Source organism: Homo sapiens, chromosome 18 (assembly GCF_000001405.40).
Source record: "Homo sapiens chromosome 18, GRCh38.p14 Primary Assembly".
Classification (NCBI taxonomy): domain Eukaryota; kingdom Metazoa; phylum Chordata; class Mammalia; order Primates; family Hominidae; genus Homo; species Homo sapiens.
The window spans coordinates 3,561,078-3,578,812 of NC_000018.10; the positions used below are offsets into that span (position 1 = coordinate 3,561,078).

The 17,735-nt window shown below is 40.6% G+C and overlaps 1 protein-coding gene, 1 non-coding gene and 1 pseudogene across 34 annotated transcripts in view, besides 2 other annotated features; all 3 read right to left on the minus strand.

The window, feature by feature from the left end:
* Positions 1-17,735, minus strand: part of DLGAP1 (DLG associated protein 1) — a 959,276-nt gene that overhangs the window by 65,046 nt on the left and 876,495 nt on the right. For all 33 annotated transcript variants that reach the window (NM_001398527.1, NM_001398526.1, NM_004746.4 and 30 more), the window contains one exon: positions 6,413-6,504. In NM_001398527.1, the coding sequence (NP_001385456.1) occupies positions 6,413-6,504 (92 nt within the window). The remainder of the gene's footprint in view (positions 1-6,412; positions 6,505-17,735) is intronic.
* RN7SL39P (RNA, 7SL, cytoplasmic 39, pseudogene) lies at positions 10,138-10,434 on the minus strand (annotated as a pseudogene).
* On the minus strand, positions 11,863-11,966 carry LOC124904373 (small nucleolar RNA U13). Its single transcript, XR_007066490.1, has one exon. It is a non-coding gene; the product is annotated as a small nucleolar RNA U13 (small nucleolar RNA).
* Positions 14,890-15,391: an enhancer, noted in NCBI's record as "H3K27ac hESC enhancer chr18:3575965-3576466 (GRCh37/hg19 assembly coordinates)". NCBI's record gives its function as "activates a minimal SCP1, AML or CMV promoter by ChIP-STARR-seq in naive H9 embryonic stem cells {active_cell/tissue: H9 hESC(naive)}" and the evidence as "EXISTENCE:reporter gene assay evidence [ECO:0000049][PMID:30033119]".
* Positions 15,392-15,891: an enhancer, noted in NCBI's record as "H3K27ac hESC enhancer chr18:3576467-3576966 (GRCh37/hg19 assembly coordinates)". NCBI's record gives its function as "activates a minimal SCP1, AML or CMV promoter by ChIP-STARR-seq in naive H9 embryonic stem cells {active_cell/tissue: H9 hESC(naive)}" and the evidence as "EXISTENCE:reporter gene assay evidence [ECO:0000049][PMID:30033119]".

Consider the following 17,735-nt stretch of genomic DNA (forward strand, 5'->3'; position numbering starts at 1 on the left):
GCAATTGCTATTTTGAACAAACTTATCTGTTAGATCAATTACGAATGAGAAAAATGAGCTGGGCACACTGTCCCACGCCTATAATTTCAGCACTTTGGGAGGCTGAGGTGGGCGGATCACCAGAGATTAGGAGTTTGAGACCAGCCTGTTCAACATGGTGAAACACCGTCTCTACTAAAAAAAAAAAACAAAAAAAAAAAAACAAACAAAAAATAGCCAGATGTGGCAGGTGCCTGTAATCCTAACTACTCAGGAGGCTGAGGCAGGAGTATCGCTTGAACCTGGGAGGTGGAGGTTGCAGTGAGCCAAGATCCTGCCACTATACTCCTTCCTGGGCGACAGAGCAAGACTCCATCTCCAAAAAAAAAAAAAAAAAAAAAAACAGAAAAATGAAAGTTTTTATTTTAGTTTCTGACCTATGTCATTTTCCTTCTCTCAGAAGAACTTCTTAACATTTCTTGAAGGTCTGCTGGCAACAAATTCCCTCAATTTTTGTTTATCTGAAATAGTCTTTATTTTTCTTTCACTTTTACGGATAATTTCACAGGGTACAAAATTCTAGATGGGTGTTTTTGGTTTTTTATTCTCCTAATACTTTAAATATTTCACTCTGTTCTTGCATGGTTTCCGAGAAGTTGGATATACTTCTTTCAATTTTTTTCGTTTTTGAGTGTTTTTATAGTGACTAAGCCTCGCTATGTTGCTATTAGTCCGTTTTAACGCTGCTGATAAAGACATACCTGATACTGCGCAATTTACAAAAGAAAGAGGTTTATGGGACTTACAGTTCCATGTGGCTGGGGAGGCCCCACAATCATGGCATAAGGTGAAAAGCACATGTCACATGGTGGCAGACAGGAGAAGAGGGTAACCGGGCACTGTGGCTCACGTCTGTAATCCCAGCACTTTGGGAGGCCGAGGCGGGAAGATCATAAGGTCAGGAGTTTGAGACCAGCCTGGCCAACATGGTGAAACCCTGTCTCTACTAAAAATATAAAAATTAGCAAGGCGTGGTGGCGGGCACCTGTAATCCCAGCTACTCAGGAGACTGAGGCAGGAGAATTGCTTGAACCCAGGAGGCAGAGGTTGTAGTGAGCCGAAATCATGCCATTGCACTCCAGCCTGGGCAACAAGAGCAAAAACTCCGTCTCAAAAAATAATAATAATAATAATTATATCTGTGTGGCCACAGTTACCCAAGTGGCTGTGGTGGAAGGATTGCTTAGGGCCAGGAGTTCAAGTCCATCCTGGGCAACTGATATGGTTTTGTGTGTCCCCACTCAAATCTCATCTTGAATTGTAACTCCCACAATTCCCACCCGTTGTGGGAGGAACCTGGCAGGAGGTGATTGAATCATGGGGGTGGGTCTTTCCCATGCTGTTCTCATGATAACGAGTGGGTCTCATGAGATCTGATGGCTTTAAAAATGGGAATTTCCCTGCAGAAGCCCTCTTCTCTCCCTTTTTTTTTTTTTTTTTTTTTTTTAGATGGAGTCTCACTCTGTCACCCAGGCTGGAGTGCAGTGGCGTGATCTCGGCTCACTGCAGCTTCCACCTCCTGGGTTCAAGTGATTTTCCTGCCTCAGCCTCCCAAGTAGCTGGGATTACAGACACGCGCCACCACGCCTGGTTAATTTTTTTTTTTTTTGAGACTAAGTCTCGCTGTGTCTCCGAAAGTGTTGGGATTACAGGAATGAGCCACTGTGCCTGGCCAGATATAACTCTTATCTTTTATCTTTTTTGTTTGTTTGTTCTGTTTGTTTATTTTTGAGACACGGTCTCTCTCTGTCGCTGAGGCTGGAATGCAGTGGTGTGATCTCAGCTCGCTATAACCTCCACTTCCCAAGCTCAAGCAATCTTTCCACCTCAGCCTACTGAGTAACTGGGACCACAGGCATGCACCACAGCCAGATAACTTTTTGTATTTTTTGTAGAGATGGGATTTTGCCATATTGCCCAGGTTGGTCTTGAACTCCTGGGCTGAAGTGATCCACCCACCTCAGCCTCCCAAAATTCAGGGATTACAGATGTGAGCCACTGAACCCGGCCTAGTTCTTATCTTTGCTCCTCTATAGGTAAGATGTTCTTTCCCTCTCACTTTTTTCAAGATTTTTAAAGTCTTATTTTTCTGAAGTTTGAATATGATATGCTTAGGTGTAGTTTTTTGGTTTGTGTTTGTTTGTTTTGGCATTTATCTTGTTTGGTATTCTCTGAGCTTCCTGAATCTGAGGTGTCTGACATTAATTTGGGGGAATTCTGTTATTATTGCTTCTAATATTGCTTCTGTTCCTTTCTCCATCCTCTCCTTCTTGTATTCCTCTCTCATGTAAAGTTACACCTGTTGTAGCTGTCTCACTGTTCTCAGATAATCTGTTATGGCTTTTTTTTGTTTTTTTGGTTTTTTTTTTTGAGACGGAATTTCGCTCTTGTTGCCCAGGCTGGAGTGCAGTGGCACGATCTCGGCTCACCACAACCTCCGCCTCCCAAGTTCAAGCAATTCTCCTACCTCATCCTCCCAAGTAGCTGGGATTACAGGCATGCACCACCATACCCGGCTAATTTTTTATTTTTAGTAGAGATGGGGTTTCTCCATGTTGGCCAGGCTGGTCTTGAACTCCTGAGCTCTGGTGATCCGCCCACCTTGGCCTCCCAAAGTGCTGGGATTACAGGCATGAGCCACCGTGCCCAGCTGATCTGGCTTTTTATCAGTCTTCTTTCTCTTTGCTTTTCAGTTTTGGAAGTTTCTATTGTTATATCCTCAAGTTTAGACATTAGTGTCCAGTTTACTAGTGAGCCCATCAAAGATATTCTTTGTTTCTATTAGAGTGTTTTTTATCTCCAGCATTTCTTTTTAAATCTCTCTTAGAACTCTTTTTCATTCTCCATCTCTCTACATGTTCTGCTTCTTTCATTAGAGCCCTTAGCATATTAATCATAATTAGAAAAAAATCTTGGCCCGGTAATTCCAACATTCCTGCCATATTTGACTCTGGTTCTGATGCTTGTTCCATCTCTTCAAACTGTGTTTTTTACCTTTTAGTATGCCTCGTAATTTTTTGAAAAGTGGGCATGATGTACTGGGTGAAAGGAACTGTGGTAAATTGGCATTTAGTAATGTACTGGTAAGGTGTGTGTGAGGGAAAAGTGCTCTACAGTTCTATGATTAGTCTCAGCCTTTTGGTGAGCCTGTGCTCCTGGTCTGTGAACTTCATCAGTGTTTCTCAGTTGTTTTTATTTTTTTCTCTTACGTGGGATAAGGTGCCTGAAGGGGGCTGAGGTTGGGTATGTCCCTTCCCCCATGTGGAAGGCTAGAGGAAACTAGAGCTGAGTGTTTTCCTTCCCCCAGGTAGGTTCTAGGCTCTGATAAAACCCCAGCCAGCAAAAGGTTCTGGTAAAATAGTTTCTGCTGCGTGCAGGCCCTGTGAATAAGAAGAGAAAGTGCTGGCATATTTCAAAGTAGTTATTTTTTCCTTCCCCTTTCTGGAAGCACAAGGAGATTTTTTTTCTCTGATATTCACTTTGAGGACCTGGTAGAGTTCCTGGAGGTAAAACTCACAAAAGTGTGAGCTCTCCCTATGACTGGGTTTCCTTGGAGCTTTTAACTCTCAGAGTTGTCAATATTGAGCCTCCAACAATTCTTCAGTTACTGCTTACGTTTTCTTACCCTGTGCTGGTTCCTGCAGAGATTTCTACTTGTGTTTCTACTCCAGTAAGTTGTAAGTCTCTGTATCTGTCTGTTTTTCCAATTTTGGGAGAAGCAGTGTGCCCTGTGACCTCCCTTCTCTAAGAGATATACAAAGAGATGTTGATTTTTTAGTTTGTTGAGATTTTTACTTGCTAAGATGGAGTGGTGACTTCCGAGTTCCTTTTAGCTTATAGTGGAAACTGCTTGTAACCCCCTTTTTACATATAAGGAAACTAAGGCACAAAGATGGGTAGTAATTTGCTTATGGCCCCTCAGTTAGTAAGGGGCACAGCCAGGATTTGGTGTTCTGGCTCAAGAGTCTGTGCTGTCAACCACTACATCGTTGAGAAAAGGCACCAAGCTGGGCTGGTGGGAGATGGAGGAATATATTTTCTTTTTCTTTTTAAGACAGAGTCTGCTCTGCCACCCAGGCTGGAGCGCAATGGCGTCATCTTGGCTCACTGCAATCTCTGCCTCCTGGGTTAAAGGGATTGTCCTGCCTCAGCCTCCCGAGTTCCTGGGATTACAGGAACCCACCACCACGCACAGCTAATTTTTGTAATTTTTTAGTAGAGACGGGTTTCACCATGTTGGTCAGGCTGGTCTTGAACTCCTTACCTCAGGTGATCCACCTGCCTCGGCCTCCCAGACTGCTGGGATTACAGGCGTGAGCCATTGCCCATGTCCAGGAATATATTTTCTTTAATGTCTACTAAATGTATACTTTCAAAAATTTTTCTAAAACACTTAATAAAGAAACATATGCCTAGGACATTAAAGCAATGATTACCGGCCCAGCGCGGTGGCTCACGCCTGTAATCCCAGCACTTTGGGAAGCCAAGGCGGGTGGATCACAAGGTCAAGATGATCGAAACCATCCTGGCCAACATGGTGAAACCCCGTCTCTCTTAAAAATACAAAAATTAGCTGGGCGTGATGGTCCGTGCCTGTAGTCCCAGCCACTCGGGAGGCTGAGTCAGGAGAACCGCTTGAACCCAGGAGGCGGAGGTTGCAGTGAGCCGAAATTGCACCACTGCACCCCAGCCTGGGCGACAGAGTGAGACTCTGTCTCAAAAAAACCACACACAAAAAACAAACAAACAAAAAAAAATGATTACTAAAACTTTTCAGAGTAAAAGAAAAAAGTCACTCCTAAACCTACCATTTGTACGTATTACATTTCAGTCCTTGTCCATCTGCATGAACACTATGCGTGGATATTATATATTAAAGTTTTTCACCTAACATTGTATCATGGGAATTTCCCCATGTTTCTCCACCTTTTTAAATAAATGATATTTAATAGCTGTATAATAGTTTACCTTGGTGAGGTGCTATAAATTACAAAAGCATGCTATTATTGGTTATTTGATAATTAGTGTTTTTCTTTTACAATGATAAATAATGTTTCACAATTGTTTACCTTTCATTGAGTAATTTAACTCAAGCCCCAAGAGTGTGATTTTTGGGTCAATTGGTACGGATAGATGTGTAACTATTGCTAACTTTTGTCATATTTGTTTCCAGAATGATCGTACCAGTTTTCTGGGCTTCCAGCATTGCATAATTATATCAGGTTGGTGCAAAAGTAATTGAGGTTTTTGCCATATTATACACACACACACACTATATATATATATTACATATACACACATAGAATTTATTAATAAATATATTAACTATATGTATATGATATATATACACACCTCTTAAAAGTATAGTGTCAATCAATAGTGAGAGGTTCTAAAACAGGACCATTTCCATAAACTGATAAATTCCTCCTTTTCAGATTTTCAGTTTACGTTACATGTAGCCTTGATTATAGGAGGCATTCCATAGATTTTATTGAATGGATGGATAATGGAAGGATGGATAGGTGACATTCAAATGATTCTTCCTAATTAACACACTGAAAGTTAGTAGCAAAGTTGAGATGATACACTGATTTATAATTTAGAGTAGTTTCTCTCACCGTAACTCCAGTTTTACTTTATTCAGCCAACATTTGCTGTATATTTAGTATGTGCAAATCACAATGCTGGAAGCTGGGGGTACTACTAGCAATAAAACATGGTTCTACCCACCAAGAAACTCCCAGTTTGAGAAATTCACATGCCTCTCTCCATCAGATTCTCATTTACAACATGAAATTATTGACCCCAAATTCTGTAATTTTATGAAATCCTACATTTCCCATTTATAGATACTAAGGCTCTAAAGTAGGTAAAGAGTAATCTGAAGGACTGGTGATTCAGGATAATGACAGGGAATATCTTCTTTTTCATTCATTCATTCATTCATTCATTCATCATTCATTCATTCATCATTCATTGAGCACACACTAAACACCAGACACTATTAAGTGTTGGGAATAGAAATAGAAATAAGGTAAGTTCTCTTCTCATAAAAAGTGCACTGTCTCATATGGGAAGGTCTCTTATTTTTTTTGTTTTCAGAGGTATAGTTTGGCAACCCAAGAGTACTGCACACAGTATTTATATGTATGTAATATGCTTACAGTACTATTCAAACAAAACTCAAATGGAGTGGTGTCTAGTATTAAAGTACAGGAGAGAATCAACTAATATTGATTCAACTTCACCCTTTAAATACTCCCAAAACTTAGAGGAAAATATCATTGAATTTTGTAGACTTATCACGGGGAAAAATGCTTTTACCTTACTTCAAAACATCAAGACAAAAGAGGATGCGTGCATGTGGACTTACCACTTCTCTTCTTCTACTTGCACTCCCACGGACTGGAACTTACTGGGTGCTTTATTCTCCCCTGTTTTGTCAGGTTCTTCAGCATCATCCACCTGGAGAAATCATCAAATAAATAGAGTTGTTCCATTTCAGTCATCTTGCTTGAAAAACAAACATCACATTTTATGAGAAAAATCTCTAATATGACTGGAATGTTTTGTAATTTATAACCTCCTTGTTCAATATTTGTGTACACTACCTTCACTGCACGCTCTTTGACTCTGTTGCTGTTAGTAAAATGCAATTTTATCCACTCTCAAGGTAGCTGATAAATGTTTATGATTCCTCCACAGATTTGCAAGTCTGTACTTAGACTTAAGTATCTTACTGTAAATACTATATTAGAAGGGAATCTACATGGAAATGTGTTCTTGGAAGTTTTTTTTTTCTAATAGAGTTTCCCTCTGTCGCCCGGGCTGGAGTGCTGTGGTGTGATCTCAGCTCACTACAACCTCCGCCTCCCGGGTTCAAGGGATTCTCCTGCCTCAGCCTCCCGAATAGCTGAGATTACAGGTGTGTGCCACCATGTCCGGCTAATTTTTGTATTTTTAGTGGAGACAGGTTTTTGCCAAGTTGGCCAGTCTGGTCTCAAACTCCTGATCTCAAGTGTTCTGCCCGCCTGGGCCTCCCAAAGTGTTGAGATTACAGGCGTGAGCCACCACGCCCGGCCTGGAAGTTTTGAATTTGAAGATAACAACATACAAAATAAAGAGGAAAATTTATATATTGTAATTATAATTGTTGACATTGGGAGATTTAGATATTAACCTTATTAAGATAAACTATAGAGTGTCTTCATTTTTCTCCCCTTAAATAAAGAATTGACTTTGAATATCACTCCATAGTTTCTAAATAGCTATGTGTATATTACAGCTATATAGAAAATATACCATATAGAACTAATAACCTATGCAACAGATTAGCTCCAACCCAAATTTGAAGAAAATTTTAGAATTATTAGGTTTATTCCGTTTTCCTACTATGTGTTTAAGAAATGTTGTCTCTAAATATAAAGACAATTCAATGTAAGTTATATAAAATTAAAATACAGAAATATATAATGTAGAAAGAGAAAGTCTCCCAAGAATTATTGTCAATTATTTGATGTATATTTGTCTATCTTTATATATATGTCTAAATATATATATTTAAATTTTTGTTTGTTTGTTTGTTTTTGAGATGGAGTCTCACTTTGTTACCCAGGCTGGAGTGCAGTGGCACGATCTCGGCTCACCGCAAGCTCCGCCTCCCAGGTTCACACCATTCTCCTGCCTCAGCTTCCCAAGTGTCTGGGACTACAGGTGCCCGCCACCACGCCTGGCTAATTTTTTATATTTTTAGTAGAGACGGGGTTTCACTGTGTTAGCCAGGATGGTCTCGATCTCCTGACCTCGTGATCCGCCCGCCTCGGCCTCCCAAAGTGCTGGGATTACAGCCATGAGCCACCACGCCTGGCCTAAATGATTATTTTATTTTATTTTATTTTATTTTTGAGACAGAGTCTCACTCTGTCCCCCAGGCTAGAGTGCAGTGGCGCAATCTCAGCTCCTGCAACCTCCGCTTCCCGGGTTCAAGCAATTCTCCTGCCTCAGCCTCCCGAGTAGCTGAAATTACAGACGCGTGCCACCATGCCCAGCTAATTTTTGTATTTTTAGTAGAGATGGGATTTCACCATGTTGGTCAGGCTGGTCTCGAACTCCTGACCTCGTGATTTGAGTGCCTCGGCCTCCCAAATTGCTGAGATTACAGGCGTGAGCCACCGCACCTGGACAAAAATATTTATTGACTTCTTATGTTTCTATCTGTAAGTTGTCTGTTCATATCCTTTACTAGTCTCCTCCCTAATTAGGCTGTTTTTTATTTTCTTAATCATAGGATCTCTTTATATTTTATGAACCTAAACTCTTTCTCTGTTACATATACTGCAAAAGTTTTCTCTCAGTTTATCATGTGTCTTTTAAACTTTGCCCTTCATTGGAGAGAGTCTTAGGTAGTCACATCCAGCTTTTATGGTTTGGAAAGGCTTTTTCTCTGAGCATATTTTTAAAAGTCTTCTTGTATTTTCTTTTATGCTTTCATGTTATCTTTTTTTCGTATTTAATTCTTAAATCCACCATCCTGAAATGTTTCTGTCAAAGACACATACCTAGAGATCTACTATTACCCTCCTGTACTACCTCCCTTGGGTTATGAATGGATCTGGCTCCGTTTATTAACTAATTCGCCTTTTTTATTTGAGATGCCAGCTTTATCTGATACCAAACTTTACTCACATATATTTCCCCATACATTCTCATATAGGCATTCTCATATACAGTCATGACACACATAGTGACATTTCTGTTAACGATAGAGCACATATACAATAGTGATCATAAGATTATAATGGAACTGTCCTGTGCAGAAGTACCATTCTGTATCTTTTGTACTGTATTTTTACTGTACCTTTTCTATGGTTAGATACACAAATACTTAACATTATGTTATAATGGCCTACAGTGTTCTGCATAGTCATATGCTGTACAGGTTTATAGCCTAGGAGCAATGGGCCATACTATATAGCCCAAGTGGGTAGTATGCTCTACCTCCCAGGTTTGTGTAAGTACCTTCTATGATGTTCACACAATGACGAAATCACCTAATAACACATTTTCCCAGGTGTATCCCTGTCATTAAGTGACATACATATAAAGACCTGTTTCTGGCCTATTGATCTGCTGGGCTTATTGACCTTCCCTCTCCTTTTTCCTAAATTTTTTTTTTTTTTTGAGATGGAGTTTCACTCTGTTGCCCAGGTTAGAGTGCAGTGGTATGATCTCGGCTCAGTGCAACCTCCACCTCCCGGGTTCAAGTGATTCTCCTGCCTCAGCCTCCCAAGTAGCTGGCATTATAGGTGTGTGCCACCATGCCTGGCTAATTTTTGTATTTTTCGTAGAGACGGGATTTCACTACATTGGCCAGGCTGGTCTCGACCTCCCAACCTCAGCTGATCTGCCCGCCTCAGCCTCTCAAAGTGCTGGTTGCATGTCTGGCCTTTCCTAATATAATTTTGTAATCAGTCTTGATATTTTCTATGGCAAGTCTCCTCCTGTAGTTCCTTTTTCAAAAAGTATAATTAGGCTAGGTGAGGTGGCTCATGCCTGTAGTCCTAGCACTTTGGGAGGCCGAGGTGAGAGGATCGCTTGAGCCCAAGAGTTAAAGACCAGCCTGGGCAACATAGCAAGACCCTGTCTCTACAAAAAATAAGAAAAAAAATAGCTGGGCATAGTGGCATGCGCCTGTACTCCCAGCTACTCAGGAGGCTGAAGGAGGATTGCTTGAGCCTGAGAGGTGGAGGCTGCAGTGAGCCATGATCATGCCACTGCACTCCAGCCTGAGTGACAGAGCAAGACAGTGTCTCAAAAAAAAAAAAAAAGGTAATTTAAAAACAGAACAAACCAAAACAAAAATCTCTAGGTTATTTTGGAGTATTAACTTCTAAGTAAACTTTAACATCAAATTGTCAAGCTCGTCCTGTTAGCCTCCACCAAGTGATAAAAATCATATTGGAATTTTTATTGGAATTTCTTTAAATATTTGTATTAATTTTCAGGAAATTGTTGTCTTTTTACTATGTAGTATTCCTGTGTAGGAATAGTAAATAATTTTCCATTTATTACAGTATTATATTTTATTTATTTATTTGCTGGATGAGATCTTGCTATGTTGCCCAGGCTACAGTACAGTGGCTATTCACAAAGTCGATCCCATTAGTGATCAGCAGGGCAATTTTGACCTGCTCCTTTTCTGACCTGAGCCAGTTCACCCCTCCTTAGGCAAACTGATGGTCCCCTGCCCCTGGCAGGTCACCATACTGATGCTGAACTTACTGTGGACACCCCATCACTATAGTGCACTACAGCCCAAGACTCCTGGGCTCATGTGATCCTCCTGCCTAAGCCCCCTGAGTAGTTGAGACACAGGTGTGCATGACCATGCATGGAGGTTATTTACTTATTTATTTATTTTCAGATGGAGTCTTGGGACTCTCACTCTGTCGCCCAGGCTGGAGTGCAGTGGCGCAGTCTCGGCTCACTGCAACCTCCGCCTCGGGGGTTCAAGCCATTCTCCTGCCTCAGCCTCCTGAATAGCTGTGACTGCAGGCGCGTCCACCATGCCCGGCTAATTTTTGTATTTTTTAGTAGAGACTGGGTTTCATCATGTTGGCCAGGATGGTCTGGATCTCTTGACCTCGTGATCCGCCCGCCTCGGCCTCCCAAAGTGCTGGGATTACAGGCGTGAGCCAATGTTCCCGGCCGCCTGGAGGTCTTATATTTTATGTAAGGTAAGTTTTTATATTGTTTTCAAATAGGAGTTACATATTATTTCTGAAGCTCAATTGTGTTGTTTTATAGTTTTTGTTACTACTGTGAATGGGTTATTTTTGTACCTTTATATTTTGTTTATTGATAATATATAGATAAGTTATTGATTCCTCTGTATTTATATTATATTCTTTCACGTTGCTGAATTCTAATGGATTTTCAGTGGTTTCTTCTAGGTTTTTTTTTTTTTTTTTTTTTCTTTTGAGACGGAGTTTGGCTCTTATTGCCCAGGCTGGAGTGCAATGGCGCGATCTCGGCTCACCGCAACCTACCCCTCCGGGATTCAAGCGGTTCTCCCGCCTCAGCCTCCCGGTTTCCGCTAGAATTTTAAAGGTGGACATGTATATTATCTACGAATAAAAGCAATTTTGCTTTGTTTTGAAATATTTACAGTTCATTTCTTGCTTTGTGTCTTGGCCAGTAAAGGCAAACAACACTGAATAAGCCTAAGAAAATATTCATCCTTACTTGACTTCTGACTCTGGAATATCTCTAGCATTTCGTCTTTAAGCAGAAGTTTAGATTGGTTTCTTTTATTTATTTATTTGTTTGTTTGTTTGTTTGTTTGTTTCTGAGACAGAGTCTCACTCTGTTGCCCAGGCTGGAGTGCAGTGGCGCAATCTAAGCTCACTAAGCAACCTCCACCCCCCAGGTTCAAGTGATTCTCCTGCCTCAGCCTCCCGAGTAGCTGGGACTACAGGCATGTGCCATCATGCCTGGCTAATTTTTGTATTTTTAGTAGAGACGGGATTTTGCCATGCTGGCCAGGCTGGTCTCAAACTCCTGATCTCAAGTGATCCACCCACTTCAGCCTCCCAAAATACTGGGATTACAGGTGTGAGCCACTACACCCGGCCTTTAGTTTGGTTTCTTATAAATGCTTTTTATCATGTTGATACTTGGAATGGCTTCTGATTTTTACCAAATGCAATAGTTTTTACTATCTATCTGATACCAAACTTTTCCCCCTAAAGGCTAAAATAACTTTGGATTTCTGTGACATACACTACTTGGTAATAGTATATTATTTTTATTTCATTTTTCTTACTTCAGACAGGAAATATGCTGACACGATAATAAGATGTGAGGGAGGCACATCTTAAACTTTTGTGTGAAGACCCAATCATCATGCTGATGAATCACAAAAAGATCAGTAAAGGTATATTATTTTTAAAAATATATATACACTTTGATTAATTCTCAAATTTGGTAAGAATTTTTACATGTATTTTTGTAAGCATGTTATTCCATAATTATTTTTTCTTGTGTTCTTTCAAATTTAGGTATTAGAGTTATGCTTATTTGATTAAAATATATTAAGAATCTTGTCTGGGCGCAGTGGTTCACACCTGTAATCCCAGCACTTTGGGAAGCCGAGACGGGCAGATCACCTGAGGTCAGGAGTTTGAGACCAGCCTGGCCAACATGGTGAAACCCCGTCTCTACTAAAAATACAAAAATTAGCCGGGCGTGGTAGCGCGTGGATGTAGTCCCAGCTACTCGGGAGACTGAGGCAGGATAATTGCTTGAACCCAGGAGATGGAAGTTACAGTGAGCCTAGATCATACCACCGCACTCCAGCCTGGGTGACAAGAGCAAAACTCCATCTCAAAAGAAAAAAGAGTCTTGATCTTTTTTGTAATATTACATGCTTTAAATAACATAGGAATTATTTGCTTCATGAATGTTGAGAAAACCTTTCCTGTTAAAATGATCCAAGTCCGTAACATTTGTGAAAGGTTTTTTTTTTCTTCACTTTTTTTGCACTTTATTCTATGGTTATAAGATTTCTTCCTCCAGGTTTTTATTTTATTTATTTATTTATTTTTTAGACAGAGGGTTTCTGTCATCCAAGCTGGAGTGCTGTGGCAAAATCATGGCTTACTGCCACTGTGACCTCCTGGTCTCAAGTGATCCTCCCACCTCAGCCTCCCAAGTAGCTGGCACTCAGGTATGTGCCAGCACGCACGACTAATTTTTTCTACTTTTTGTAGAGACAAGGTCTCGTTATGTTGCTTAAGCTGGTCTTGAATTCCCTGGCTCAAGCCATCTACCCACCTTAGCTTCCCAAAGTGCTGGGATTACAAGTGTGAGCCACTGAGCCTGACCTCTTTCCCCAGATTTAATACTCCCTCTTGCATCGGTATTAGTAATATACATGAGTGTACGTATTATTTTGACTTTAAAATTTGCCAACATTAAGCTGTCACAAGAATCTTTTATAGTTTTTCGAAAGGTCATATACTATTCTCATTCCTAATATTGTTGATTTCTATTTTCCCTCTCTCAATCAGACTTGTCTATTTATTTAGTATTTTCAAATAACCAATTTTGGTTTATCAATTCCACTTTACTTGTAATTCCTTCTTTTGAATCTGTTGTTCTTTTTCTAGCTTTGTAAATTGAGTGTTTACTTTATATTGTAATATTTCTTCCTTAATTATGAAAGAACATAGGGCTAGAAATTTTTGTTAGGTCATAACTATGGCCACAGCCCATAGTGGTGATTTATAGGATTCCTGCTGTCATTTATTTCAAAATAATCTTGAATTCCTTCCGTAATCCAAATGTTATTTAGATGTTTTAATATTTTCAAATGGTTAGATTTTGTTATCTGTTTAGCGTTAATTTCTAATTTTAATGCATCATGGTTGGCAAACATGACTGATTATTTCTTCTTTTTGGAATTCATTAAAATGATCTCCGTAAGGTTCATTAGTTTTGACTGGAGAGAGGTCCCTCCAAAAATCTCTTTCCAAATAAACACTGATGCTGACTTCGAGGACATCAAAATAAAGTCTTCAAGGCTTAAATGTTTTGAAACTATCTCCTTAGTGTTCCTTTACTATTTTAAGTCAATAAATTATGAATCCAAGATAATGTGCCTTTTTATTTTATTTTATTTTATTTTATTTTATTTTATTTTATTTTATTTATTTTGAGACAGAGTCTGGCTCTGTCGCCCAGGCTGGAGTGCAGTGGCACAATCTTGGCTCACTGCAAGCTCCACCTCCCGGGTTCACGCCATTCTCCTGCCTCAGCCTCCCGAGTAGCTGGGACTACAGGCGCCCGCCACCACGCCCAGCTAATTTTTTGTATCTTTAGTAGAGACGGGGTTTCACCATGTTAGCCAGGATGGTTTCAATCTCCTGACCTCGTGATCTGCCCACCTAGGCCTCCCAAAGTGCTGGGATTACAGGCGTGAGCCACCATGCATGGGCCTTTTTATTTTTCAAAGCTTTCTTTCAAATAGTAACCATTCCTTTGGTTTGTACTTTACTTGGCAGAGACAAGTTTCATTATCTGCAGTTGGACTTATTTCTTCACATAAGCATAAAATATTAATATATATCTGTACACTTGGACAGGTATTAAAGGAAATAAATAAGTCTTAAGAGTATGATCTAAAATAACTAAATTTTCTTTTATTTTTAATTCAAAGAATAGAGAAAGCCATTGCATTTCATATAATGTGAAGATTAAGCTGTTCTTTTCATCTGTTTTGCAAATTGAGTTAAATGATAATATATGGAAATCATAATGTACCATCAGGAAGTAGAGGGGTCAGGGCCTAAAGGTAGTACATGAAACTCATCTGTAGTCAGAATTACTCTTGAGAGACTAAAAGACAATGTAACCAACTGTTGCCAGGGGTCACCTTTGGGGAGTACAGTAGGAATACGAGGTGGGAGTGGGAAAGAAGGGGAAATCTCATATTTTGCTCTATACACTCCTGTACTGTACGAACTCTTTATAATAATCCTGTATACATGAATTACTCACTTTGTAATTATAAGAAAACAAAAAAAATTTATCCTAAAGGTGCCTATGACTTTTAGTTTAGACATACAACTTTGCTCTAAATCCAGAGCAGCCAGTCCCCACAATGCCCCCATCACCCCCAGCACTAGGGTATCAAGAAAAACACCAGATAAAGTACTTGACTTGTTTTGGTGCCATATTATACAGAAATTTATATCTTTAAATATTCTAGAAGCAGAGTGCCACAAGGTGCTCCCATAAGAACATAGGAATCAAGACTGCACACGGATCATGTCCATTTTAGGTCTTTTAACACACATGCTGATTGAAGGAAACAGCACATTTATTTATTATATCAGACAAAGAGCTTTGTTTTGGTGATTTGCTTACTGTCTAGCAGCCTCGAGCCCATCTTCTACATTTAGCTGCTCTTCGACACTGCGGCCAGGACTCCCAAACTACATTTCCTAGGCCTCCTTGTCAGCTGGTTTCCAGCTGTGTTCTAACAAAGGAAGGTGGAAGAAGAGAAGAAACTTCCTTCCTGTTTCCACCTTCTTCTGGCATCACTCTTGCATGTGAAGGTAGCTATGGCTCCACCCTCCAACTCCTTTTTTTTTTTTTTTGAGACGGAGTCTTGCTCTGTCGCCCAGGCTGGAGTGCAGTGGCGCGATCTCGGCTCACTGCAACCTCCGCCTGCAGGGTTCAATCAATTCTCTGTCTCAGCCTCCCGAGTACTTGATATTACAGGTGCCCACCACCATGCCCAACTAATTTTTTTGTATTTTTAGTAGAGACTGGGTTTCACCATCTTGGCCAGGCTGGTATTGAACTCCTGACCTTGTGATCCGCCTGCCTTGACCTCCCAAAGTGCTGGGATTATAGGCATGAGCCAGCGCAGCCAGCTCCAGCTCCTTTTTTTTTTTTTTTGAGATGGAGCTTCGCTCTTGTTGCCCAGGCTGGAGTGCAATGGCGCGATCTTGGCTCACTGCAACCTTCGCCTCCCAGGTTCAAACGATTCTCCTGCCTCAGCCTCCCGAGTAGCTGGAATTACAGGCATGCACCACCATGCCCGGCTAATTTTTTGTATTTTTAGTAGAGATGGCGTTTCTCCATGTTGGTCAGGCTGATCTCGAACTCCCAACCTCAGGTGATCCGCCCACCTTGGCCTCCCAAAGTGCTGGGATTACAGGCGTGAGCCACTACGCCCGGCCTTTTTTTTTTTCTTGAGACGGCGTTTCACTCTTGTTGCCCAGGCTGGAGTGCAATGGCACAATCTCGGCTCACTGCAACCTCCGTCTCCCAGGTTCAAGTGATTCTTCTGCCTCAGCCTCCTAAGTAGGTGAGATTACAGGCATGCACCACCACACCCAGCTAATTTTTTTATTTAGTAGAGATGGGGTTTCACCATGTTGGTCAGGTTGGTCTCAAACTCCTCACCTCAGGTGATCCACCCACCTCGGCCTCCCAAAGTGCAGGGATTACAGGGGTGCGCCACCGTGCCTGGCCCTTCAGCTCCTTTCAACAGCCCATGCACCAGCTGCTCTGCACCACTCTGAAGTCCCAGCACCACGTGACCCTGCCACCTCACAGTCTGAGCACGGGCTACCCCAGGCCTTTCTTCTGAGCTCCTAAACTTCTGGTAACCCCACCTTTTCCTTCTTGTTCCTTTTATTGCTCTCTCAGTCTTCCCATACCTGTGTAACCAATTTTGTGTATTAAACTGTCTCTGTTTAAGAAGTGAGCCTGGTCTGTGATTTCCTGGATGAGATTTTAACCAATTCCATATGACTACACTTTTGTAAATTAAAAACGCTTAGGATGTCAGCCAAAGTAGGATGTTGTGTCTTCTACTATGCGGTGGTATAAAACTATCCAATGAAATTTGTTCAGAAGACGCATGGTAGTTATTTCCCTGAAGAAGCACGATCCTCAATGCATGAAAAAGAGGAGACAGAAAAGAAGGAGGGTTCATCAGAACAAGAATGGAGGATATTGTTCTCTGCCTGGTCCAAGCCTCATCCCCACTGGTCCTAGAACTGCCAGCTCATTTGCATCAAGTATTAGCATCTTCTAAGCTTTAGTCATTGTATATAAATTTATCTGTGATTTTTTACTCTTAGCTCCAAATATTGGCAAATGGCATCTTTTATGTATTGTATCTAGGGTAATCTACTTAAATTTATAAAGTGGCTTTCAAAATTGTAAAAGAAGTTGCAGGATATGAGATCTCTGTCCAAAAAAATAATAATTGAGAAAGTCCATGGCATATTTAGTTCAGCATATTTAGCTAATTATAATTTTAAAGGACAATATTAATCATAACAACTAAATCTAATAATTGTTGAACACTTATGCCTGGCACTGTGCTTACGGCCTTACATATATTTTATCAATTAATTTTTACCATACCCAAAATGTACCATATGAAATAAGGACTATTATTATTCTCATTTTCCAGATGAAGAATCTGAGATACAGAAATATTAAGTAATTGATCTAAGTTCACAGAGGTTATAAAGTAAGTAGTTGTAGTATTAGCTATTGGGTATGAATTAAATGTAAAGTTTTGGTAAAGGATTGGAAACTCTGGCCCTAAGAGAGAAAGCATGGAAGGAAGTCTAAGATTCTAGTGTGACATATTTTGGGAACTTGCATTTAAATTTGATTTCTGTATAACGAAATTCAATGAATAGTTTGCGTCTTTAATTTTTTTTTTTTTTTGAGATGGAGTCTTACTCTGTCGCCAGGCTGGAGTGCAGTGGTACAACCTTGGCTCACTGCAACCTCTGCCTCCTGGGTTCAAGTGATTCTCCTGCCTCAGCCTCCCAAGCAGCTGGGACTACAGGCGTGTGCCACCACACCCAGCTAATTTTTGTATTTTTAGTAGAGATGGGGTTTCACCATGTTGGCCAGGATGGTGTCGATCTCTTGACCTCGTGATCTGCCCACCTCAGCCTCCCAAAGTGCTGAGATTACAGGCCTGAGCCACCGCACCCGGCCATTTTTTTTTTTTCTTATTATTCTCCATCAAAGAAGTAGTATAATGTGATCATGTTAGACACTAGGTACAATCTTGGCTCTGTCAACAAAAAGCAGGTGACCTTGGGCAAGTTTTCCAACCTCTCTGTGCTCTCATCTGTAGGGCAGAGATGATCCTA